We start from the raw sequence: 11,576 nt of genomic DNA, 5'->3' as shown, positions 1-11,576 counted from the left end.
GGCTCTCGCTGTGCTGGGGAATCCAATGTACTCCTGGGTCACGGGTAAGGTACTCAGGTGGAGCGATGCACTCAGGCTGGGCTGCAGAGGCTGCACTGTGTGTGCACCTGCTCTTGCAGAGTGGCTAGGCATGGGCCCTGGGAGGGGCCAGTGGGCAGGAGGACTTTCAGAACAGAGGCACCCAAGTCCCACAGGGAAGCTGCCCCTGCTGTCTCCTGGGTCAGAGGTCAGCTAATGCCAGAGTCTCCTGCAAGGAGATACGGAGCCTGGGGGATTGGCATCTCTATTAGTCCGTTCTCGCACTGCTATAAAGAAATACCTAAGACTGTAATTTCTAATGAAAATAGATTTAATTGGCTTATTGTTCGGCAGGCTGTACAGGAAGCATGATGCTGGCACCTGCTTGGCTTCTTGGGAGACTTACACTCATGGCAGAAGGTGAAAGGGGAGTCAGCACTTCACGTGGCCAGAGCAGGAGGAAGAGAGAAAGGCGGGGAGGTGCTATACACTTTTAAACAACCAGATCTCACTATACAGTTCCAAAGAGGGATGGTGCTAAACCATTCATAAGAAGTTTGTCCTGTGACAAACTTCACAGGCCTCCCACCAGGCCCCACCTCCAACACTGGCGATTACATTTCAACATAAGATTTGGACAGGGACACAAATCCAAACCATATCATTCCATTATATGGAATGCTACCGTATGATGCATTATCTGTTATCATTAACTCAAAATAAATTAAAGACTGAAATCTAACACCTAAAAGTACAGAACTCCAAGAAGAAAAAAAATAAAATCTTTATAACATTGGAATGAGCAATTACTTCCTGGATATGACACCAAAAGCATAAGCAACCAAAGCAAAATTAGATAGATGGGAGTACGTCAAACCTAAAAACGTCTGTGTAGCAAAGGAAACAATCAACAGTGACAAAGCAACCTATATAGAACGGGAGAAAACATTTGCAAATCATATAACTGATAAGGAGTTAATATCCAGAAACTTATAAAAAAAAGTCTTAAAGCTCAACAACAAAAAATAACTTGATTAAAAAATCAAAGGTGGGATGCAGTGGCTTATACCTGTAATCCCAACACTTTGGGAGGCCAAAGAGGGAGGACTCTTTGAGGCCAGGAGTTTCAGATTAGCCTGGGCAACATATTGAGGCCCATCTCTACCAAATTATGTTTTTTTAATTAGCTGGGTGTTGTGGTCCCTGCCTTAAGTCCAAGCTACATGGGAGGCTGAGGTGGGAGGGTCACTTGAGCCCAGGAGTTCAAGACTAGCCTGGGCAACATAGGGAGATCCCGACTACAAAAAATTAAAAAATTAGCTGGGTGTGGAGGCACTTGCCTGTAGTCCCAGCTACTTGGGAGGCTGAGGCAGGAGAGTTGGTTGAACCCGGGAGATGGAGGCTGCAGTGAGCCAAGATTGCACCACTGTACTCCAGCCTGGGTGACAGAGTGAGACTCCATCTCAAAACAAAACAAAACAAAACAAAAAACAAAACCAAACAAAAAAACCCCCAAAACCTAGGAGTGCCTCTATGGTGAGAGTATGTTTAACTTTAATAAAAACTGCCATATTGTTTTCTGAAGTTGCTGTATCATTATGCATTCCACTAGCATTGAACGAGAGTTCCTGTTGCAACTTATTTTAATTTTATTTATTTAATTGTTTTTTTGAGAGAGAGTCTTGCTCTGTAGCCCAGGCTGAGTGCAGTGGTGCGAACACTGCTCACTGCTGCCTCTACCTTCCAGGCTCAAGCAATTCTCCCATCTCAGCTGGGATTACAGGTGTGTGCCACCAGGGCTGGTTAATTTTATTTTATTTTTAAATTTTTGGTAAAGATGGGGGTCTCACATGTTGCCCAGGCTGGTCTTGAACTGGTTTCAAGTGATCCTCCCGACTTTGCTTCCCAAAGTGATGGGATTACAGGCATGAGCCACTGTTCCCAGCCTCCTGTTGTAATTTTTATTACATTAAAAAAAGGTTTTAGTCACATTAGTAGATGCTCAGTGGTATACCATTGTTGCATTAATTTGCTTTTCCCTATGACAAGTGCCATGAGCATTCTTTTGGATGCTTGTTTGTTGTCTTATCTTTTTTAGTGAGGTGTCTACCTTTTAATTGTGTTGTCTTCTTGCTGAGCATTAGAATTTCTTTGTATATTTTGCATATAAATCCCTTTCAGGTTTGTTTTATAAATATTTTCTCTCAGTCTGTGGCTTGGTTTTTCATTCTCGTAGCAGGATGTTTCAGAGTAGACATTTCAAATTTTAATAAAGTCCACATCATCAATTTTTTTTCTTTGATGGACTTGCTTTTGCTATTGTATCTAAAAATTTATCACCAACCCAAATCCATGTAGGTTTTCTTCTATAACTTCTACAATTTTATATTTGGAAATTTAAGTCTATAGATTATCTTGAGTGATTTTTTGGTTGAGCCATGAAGTTTGTGTCTTTGTGGGTAATTTATAAAGAAAAGAGGTTTAATTGGCTCATGGTTCTGCAGGCTGTCCAGAAAGCATGGCTTGGGAGGCCTCAGGAAATTTACAATCACGGTGAAAGGCAAAGAGGAAGGAGGCACGTCTTACATGGCTGGAGCAGGAGGAAGAGGGTGAAGGCACAAGTTCTACCCATTTTTAAACAACCAGATCTAATGGGAACTTATTATCACAAGGACAGCAAGAGAGAATTTACCACCATGATGTAATTACCTGCCAACAGATCCCTCCTTCAACATACGGGATTACAATACGACATGAGATTTGGGCAGGGACACCAATCCAAACCATATCACAAGCATAAGAGAAATGTGTTATCTTTCATTGCTTCAAGTATGTATGTGTGTGTTTCTTTGTTAAAAAAAAATAAACATTTTTATCTCTTGCCATGTCAGTGGGGGAATCTATACAGCTACAATTATAGACCATACTTTAAAAGAGTTAGTTGTAAGTTTAAGATGAATAAAACCTGAAGCAAATGAAAATCCATACTTTCTCCAGGATTTTATAAAGTGTTAGAGGATAGTGGTTTCATATCAGTCTCTTTAAGTGCAAACCGTATGCCAATTTTGTAAAAACCTGCATTAATAAAGCATTATTTTAAGGACCATTGGGGAGATGAAAAATAAAGGATAAATTATCTTATTTCTTAATGCACAATTTAGTAGATGAAAAGACATACTTCAATAAATTGGTATTTGTACTTTTTAGTTTGCTAATTTTATCTTTATTTTTCCAAATGAATAGTAACCATGCTTTTTAACGTGTTAAACAAAACTGCTATTACCTTATATGTGAGATTCAAGTTCTAAAGATTCAAAAGCTTTAACTCAAATTTCAATAATGTTTGAAAATGTCTTGCTGAACTTTAAAGAAATGTGTGCAATTTGTGCAATCAATAACAGTGTGGCAAACTTACTTTGCATATTGCTTTTTTTTTTTTTTTTTTTTTTTAGATGGAGTCTCACTCAGTTGCCAGGCTGGAGTCCAGTGGCACAATCTCGGCTCACTGCAATCTCTGCCTCCTGGGTTCAAGTGATTCTCCTGCCTCAGCCTCCCGAGTAGCTGGGATTACAGGCACACACTACCACACTCAGCTAATTTGTGTATTTTTAGTACAGACGAGGTTTCACCATGTTGGCCAGGATGGTCTCAATCTCCTGACCTCGTGATCCGCCTACCTTGGCTTCCCAAAGTGCTGGGATTACAGGCGTGAACCACTATGCCTGGCCCACATACTGCTTTTATGTAACTTTGTTTTATATCAGTAAACTTCTGGTTTATTTCTCCTACAACTCACCATGAAAAACATCAATGAGATAACTAGAATATCTGCTTTTCCTTATGACCAATTAGTGTGTGTCCTAGAAGGATTAATCCTCCTGCAAAAACAAAGCCACACTAATGACCTTATCAGGTTCCACTTGAAATAAAGAATAGACAATACACAGAAGGGAGATTCAAGACCGTTCTTTTTTTTATCTCTTTCCCTGTCGTATACTCAGGCGACCAAAGAGCATATGAAGACATGATTAAATATCCTTTTGGTCATCAGCTTCGAAACCTTCCTGCCAGCCAAAGCTGGAATTTTCTTCTAAAAAGGAGGAGAAAATTATACTCTCAGACCTAAATATTAAAAAGTTGAAATTGCAAATGGTATACTGGGGGGCATCTTGAGTACCTTCAGGAAATAAAATTATCACTGCCCTAACTAAGGCATGAATGAAGCCACCAAAGGATGAATAATTACGGGTGAGTTTGGAGGGTCACATCAAAAGATGTAAGATAGAAGAATCAAAAGAACTTGGAGACCAATTAGGTATGGAATTTGAAGAGGAAGGTGTAATCAAGTATAATTCACATTTTCCATCATAGCTATTCACTAAGATGATGTTTCTTCAAAACAAATTTTAAAAGACATACATAAGCATTATTTATTTTAAACACTTGCATAGTAAGTCTTTTAGTACATAGTTGCACATAGAGGAAGACAGGGACCATTTATTTATTTAAAGCTTGTCAAGAATTCAGCCATATATTTCCCAAATATTTACTGAAGGCAACTATGTACCAGGCACTGGTTTTGGTTTGGATATAAAACGGGCAACTAAGTTACGGTTTCTCTTTTACTTATAGTGCTTGTATTTTACTTAATACTACATTCTCAATCAAACTGTTACCCAAATAAATTTATGTTAAATTCTATGAAGGAAGAATGTGTATTGTGCTAAAAGTTCATAACTGAAGGATCCTGTGCTAGTGGGGCAGGATAAAGGGTACAGGAAGCAACATTAGAACCAGGGTCTGAAAGATGACAATACACTAGCCTACAGGGTAAAATCAGTCTGATGGGAAGAGGGAGAGAAGGTGAATGTATTTCACATGGCACCAATGTCATGGAAAATGTAAAAAAAGATGAAGATAAAAATGCAAGTGGGAGATAGACCATACGGGTACATATAAATTTTATTCTCAGTTGTATTACAAGTAGTGTTTTGACTGGCAGTATAATATGCATAACCACAGCTTATGAATGTCAGAAACTGTACACTTGGTTATAAACAACCATATGCCAACAAATCGAAAAGCCTGAAGAAAATGGGTAAGTTTCTACACACATTCAACCTGCCAAAAATGAACCAAGAAGAAATAACAAACCTGAATAGATGAATAAGTTGTAACAAGTTTGTGTCAGTAATAAAAAGTCTCCCAACAAAAAAAAGCCCAGGACCTGATGGCTTTACTTCTGAATTCTATCAAACTTTTAAAGAACTAACACCAATCCTCAAACTATTCAAAAATATTGAAGAGGAGGGAATTCTTCCTAATTCATCCCATGAGGCCAGCATTATCCTGATACCAAAACTAAACAAGGACACAAAAACAACAAAAGCTAAAGGCTAATATCCATGATTAACATAGAAGTAAACATCCTTAACAAGATACTAGTAAACAAAATTCAACAGCACATCAACAAGACAATACACCAGGATCAAGATAATTTATTCTAGGGATGCAAGGATTCTTCAATATACACAAATAAATAAATATGATACACCATGTCAAAAGAATAAAGGACAAATGCCATAAGATCATCTCAATAGAAGCATGAAGAGCATTTGATAAAGTGCAAGACCTATTCATGAAAAAAACTCTCAATAAATTAGTTATAGAATAAACATACCTCAACACAGAGTGCAAAGTTTGGAATATGTGCAGTCTGGCAAAGTGGTAGGAAAAAAAATAAATTTCTGCAGAAGAATTCAAGCCAGATGCTGAAATCTGTGTAAGTAAAAAGTAGCCAAATGTTGATAACAAAGATAATGGAGAAAACGGGCATTTTAGAGACCTTCATGGCAGCTCCTCCCATTAGAGGCCTGGAGGCCTAGGAAGGAGGAAAGATTTCATGGGTCCAGGGTCCCACTGTTCTGTGAAGCCCCAGAACATGTGCCCTACAGCCCAGGCACTCCAACTTTAGTCATTACTAAAAGGCCCCAGATACATCTCAGCCTGAAGCTCCAGAAGATGTAAACAATAAGCCTTGGTGGCTTCCAGGTGGTGCTAAGCCTATAGGTGCAGAGAGGGAAAGAGTTGAAGCTTGGGAGCCTCTGCTTAGGTTTCAGAAGATGTATGGAAATGCCTGGATGTCCAGGCAGAAGTCTACTGCAGGGGTAGAGCCTTCATTAAGAACCTACTTCAGCAGTTCAGAGGGGAATTGTGGGGATGGAGCCACCACACAGAATCCCCAATGCGGCACTGACTAGTGGAGCTGTCAGAAGTAGGCCACCATCTGCCAGATCCCAGAATGGTAGATTCATCATCAGCTTGCATAATGTGCCTGGGAAAGCCACAGGCAGTCAATGTCAGCCCGTAAAAGCAGCTGAGGAAGCTATACCCTGCAGAGCCCAAGGGGCAGAGCTGCCCAAGGTTTGGAATCTCACCCTTATATCACTGTGGCCGGGTGTGAAACATGGAGTCAAAGGAGATCATTTTGGAGTTTTAAGATTTAATTACTGCTCTGCTAGTTTTCAGACTTGCATGGAGCCTGTATCCATTTTGTTTGGCTGATTTCTCTCCTTTGGAATGGGTGTATTTACCCAATGCTTGTAACCCCATTGTATCTTGGAAGGAAGTAATTTGTTATTGATTTTACAGGCTCATAGGTGGAAGAAACTTTCCTTGCTTCAGATGAGATTCTGGATTGTGGAGTTTTGAGTTAATGCTGAACTGGGATAAGACTTGGAGGACTGTTCAGAAGGGATAAATGTATTTTGCAATGTGAGAAGGACGTGAGATTTGAGAGGGGCTAGGGTCAGGATGATATGGTTTAGATTTGTTTCCCACTCAAATCTCATGTCAAGTTTTATTCCCCAGTGTTGGAGGAGAAGCCTTCTGGGAGGTGATTGGATTATGGGGATGGATTTCTCCCTTGCTGTTCTCATAATAGTGAGTGAGTTCTCCTGAGATCTGGTTGTTTGAAAGTCTGTAACACTTTACCTTTTGCCTCTTCCTCCTGCTTCAGCCATGTAAAACGTGCCTTGAACTGTGAGTCAATTAAACTTCTTTTCTTTATAAATTGCCCCATCTCAAGTAGTTCTTTATAGCAATGCAAGAACAGACTAATACAGCTTACTTATGTGTTATAATATATCTTGTATGTAAGGCTAATGTGTTGGGCCCTATTAACATGTTGAATAATCCGTTACTAAAAATCCCCCCAATGAACAAGCATATGTCATGTGAAACAAGCATATGTCCTGGGTCCATGTTATTTGACATGTAGATTATGAAAGATGGTAAGTTAAAACAACAAATCTTTGACTCTTCTTTGCCACATCTATTGTTTTTTCCTCTGGCCAGCTTGTTTATTTACAAAAAAATACCACATCAACCTCTCTACACACATATACCTTTCTGATTGAAAAATGTTATGAAGAAGAAAATTATTTCTTGAGGCTAAGAAGACGATTGTATGTTTCTCATATCTTAAGGACTCATTTAAGGGTTGCAAGTAAAGAACAATGTGCATAATCACATTCCAGTTGTCCGAAATCTAGCTGAAGTTAGGAATCATGTTTCCTTAATTTTTTTAAGGCTATGCTATTAATATTTTGAGTAAGTGCATTAATTTTTTAAAATTTATTAAAGACTGAGATTGTCATCTGTATTTAATAAAACAAACATATTTAAATACTGATCAGTTTATAATTTGTATCATTATTTCTATTTTTATACCTACTTAAAGTATATATTTATATTATCTCTTTGGAGCATCTCTTTTACTAGCAGATTTTTTACTCAGTTTAAATTTCACAAACCAAATGGAGGATTTGTTGTGCTCCCTGTGTTGCCTCATAACTCTTAATTAAAGATTTATGCGTAGTCCATGGAAAGTAGAAAGCCTGTCATTAAAATTAAGAATCATCACCCTCCATTGAATTTTGTCAGGTGCATAATGTGTCACTGAGAAAGCATTCTGATTCTTATCAATGCAAATTTCCAAAGCTGAGAAATAACCAGGGGAAAAGAGAACATTATTGAATAAAGAGCAAATATAGCAATCTTTGTTTTATCTAGATTAGCAAAAAATTACATTAAATAACCCATATAGATAATTACTAAATTCAGCACCCCAAAACATTTTGTCAGATTGAGTAACTAGCTTTAAGGTGGTTCTTTTACTTCTTTTTTCTTTACCAATTCTAGAAAAAAGATTAAAGAATATTGATAGAAAAATTTCTGGTAGCATGGGGAGACCATAAATGAGTTATAATAATGCCCTGGTTCCAAAGGACCCAATTTTTTTCTCCCCATTATTCATCACCATGTCCTAAGCCTTTAAAGCATTACCTGAATCATACTAGATTCCCATAAATATCTCTCTCATTGTTGGACCATCTGTTTATTTGGAGTATTTTTCTAAAATGCAAAATACGCTTTCTCGAACATAAGCACAATTTACATTGTAATATAAAAAGCAGCATAAGCAGAGAAGTTATGTCCTTGACTTTCCCTCTTCCTGTCTCTGCCAAATCACTGTCATGTGTATGTTATTTATTATTTTCTTTATTTTTCTCAAATATTTTAAGCAAATGAAATTATATTTTTATCTGTATACCTTTTGGAATAAAGGAGAACACTATATATAATATTTAGAAGCTGATCTTTCAGTTTATCAACATATCCTGGTGAGTTTTTCCTAGTAAAAATAAATTCTTATATTCATTTTTTTCTGCCTTTTTTTTCTTTTAGAGGACTATAACCCATTTTCTATTAATGAGCACATGGAATCTTTATTGCATTTTTCTATCATAAACACTTCTACAATAATTGTGCCTGCATAAGATTTATTCTATATTTATACTGCTGTATTTCTGAAATAGAATTCCAAAATTCATAATTTTGTCAGGTACTGCCAGATATTCCTCAATAAATGCTGTTCTATTTTCTACCCACACAATGAACGCATTAAAATGCTGTCTCCCTAGATTGTTACAGGTGTGAATTGCTGGGTTTTACTTGCATTTATCTTACCATGAGGCAACTTGACCACTTTTTCATATATATCAATGCTGTTGCTACTTTTTCTGCTTTCCTGTGCCTTCAGCCCATTATTTTTAAATCAGCATGTTGGTCATTTTCTTCTGAATTGTAGGTGTTCTGTGCAATGTGGGAATATTCTCCTTTATTTGTAGTATGAATTGCAAATATTTTTCTAGTTTGTTATTTTTACCTATCTCTTTTTTGCTTGTGATGTTTTTAACAGCTTCTACATTGAAACAGATATTACATATTTCATTATTGTAAAAATGTTGCAATACTTTTTATACTTTATGGTTTAATGTTTTACAAGTAAGTTCTTAACTATTTGACATTTATCTTATAATGTAGAAAGAAAAATTCTGAATCTAAATTACCTTCCAGTTATCTCAATATCTTTTACTAGGAAGTCATTTTATAAACTCACTGATTTTAAATGCTTTCTTTGTCTTATATAAATTGTCTATTTATGAATATATACATTTAAAAATATATGTATTAATTGTATTATATGAAATAGACATGTACTCTGTTCATGTTTCAATATCATAATGGCTTAAATATTGGTAAATTATACCATGTTTTAATTATTGAAGTTCTAATACTTCCCACCAACCACTTAACATTTTTTTTGTGCTAGAAAATTTCTAGAAAGTTTTCCTTGTTCACTTCTGCATGTGTCGGTGTCAGCTTGTCTACTTACAAAAACAGAGATTAATTAAATTAGATTTAATTTAAATTAAATTAATTTAAATGAATGAATTCAAATTAAATTCATGAAATAAATTAAATTAAATTAAATTAAAATTTAATTCATTCATTTATATTTGACTAATTTTAAATTATGTTATAGACCATTTCTTTATATACATTTTACATATATTTTGTAGTTTTTACTTGTTCTTGTTAATATTGATGATGTAACATAGATCTCCTTTATACTTTAAAGCCAGTTCTTCTTGCTTGCATGCATGTGTATATCTGTGCATGTATGTGCACTCACACGTTTGTAAAGTCTATTCATATTTATATGTAAAATCTATTGTTTATATTTTATCTATATATGTATATATGATATATAAAAATCATATATGTGAAAATAACATATTTATATAGTTTATTGATGCTGTTATATTTGTTTTATATCTCACTAATAAAACATTTCTTGTCATTTTAATTTGATCTTATAGAACTTCCACTTTTATTTTCATATGATCTAAAAGAGATCTAATTTTATGTTTTTCTAATTCTATAATTGCAACTTTAATATCTATAAGTTGTTTATTGCATTCTCTAACACTTCCATTATAGTCATGAATACATTACTTTTGAAAGCCTATCTCAAATAATCCTTTATTGATAAGAAAACTTGATTTTGAGATATACATATATATTTGGGTATACATGCATATACATATATATGTTACAGATATAGATATATGAAATAATGATTTAAAAGAATTTTCATTAACTTATATTGATGTAATAGTTATGACTCAACAGTTTTGGATATTGCCAAGTGAATTTTCAGTATATTAGGTAATATTTATGTGATTTTTTTTCCTCCTGGGATCTCTTATTGTGATAAATTATATTAAAACATTTTCAAATGTTGAGTTATCCTTTTGTTCCCAGACTAAATCCCACTTTAATATCATGCTGTATTGTTTCATCTACATGTAAGTGAGATGTACTTACAGATTTTTAAGAACCAGTTAACAGAGTTTGTATAAATAGCACATTCACTTCTTATAAAGCTTTTAAATATTTATCTTTCTCTGTCTATGTCTTTCAACAAGATCTGGAATTCTTAATAGCACTGATAAAATCTTCTCTTACACTTTGATAGTGTATATTATAATCTAGTAAATATAAATGAGCCAGGCACATGGAGAAGGAAGCCTGTTCTAAGGATAGTAGTATTTGAAAAATATTTTTTATTTATTCTAGATATTTTTCCCATATACATTTTGTCTCTTGTTCAATATTATAAAATTTATATTTTTCTAAAAATTATCTATTTTTTGCATATAGCTGTGCAAAATATCTGATAATTTTTTTAATTTCCTCTATTTTCTTGATTAATTTTCTCTTCTCATTTTTATGAATGATGTGTGTGTTTGTATACCCTTCCCCTTTAAGGCTGCCTAGATTAGCTTGTGATAGAACTATTTTGCAGAATTTTCAAAGGACAAGCTTTATAATGTATTCACTTTACTTTTTTCTAGGTCTTTAATTTCTTCCTCATTCTTCATTAAATCTTTTGTCTTTTCTTTGGTTTGTTTTTTCTGTTTGTTATTGAAATTATGAAATTTTAAAATCATTTTTTACATTTTGCTTTATATTGATCTAAGATTTCAAGCTACAGGTTTTTTTCTGAATGAATTTTGTCTAAATACACTGTGTTTTCATTATCCCTGGCTTAGAGAAATATAACACTTACAGTTTGAATTTCTGCTTTGACCTAAAATGATCTGTTTAATAAAAGCATTTAAAAATTTGCATTAAAAAGTCTGAATTTT

The sequence above is a fragment of the Homo sapiens genome, chromosome 5 (assembly GCF_000001405.40).
Source record: "Homo sapiens chromosome 5, GRCh38.p14 Primary Assembly".
Classification (NCBI taxonomy): Eukaryota; Metazoa; Chordata; class Mammalia; order Primates; family Hominidae; genus Homo; species Homo sapiens.
This window is presented reverse-complemented; position numbering follows the sequence as displayed.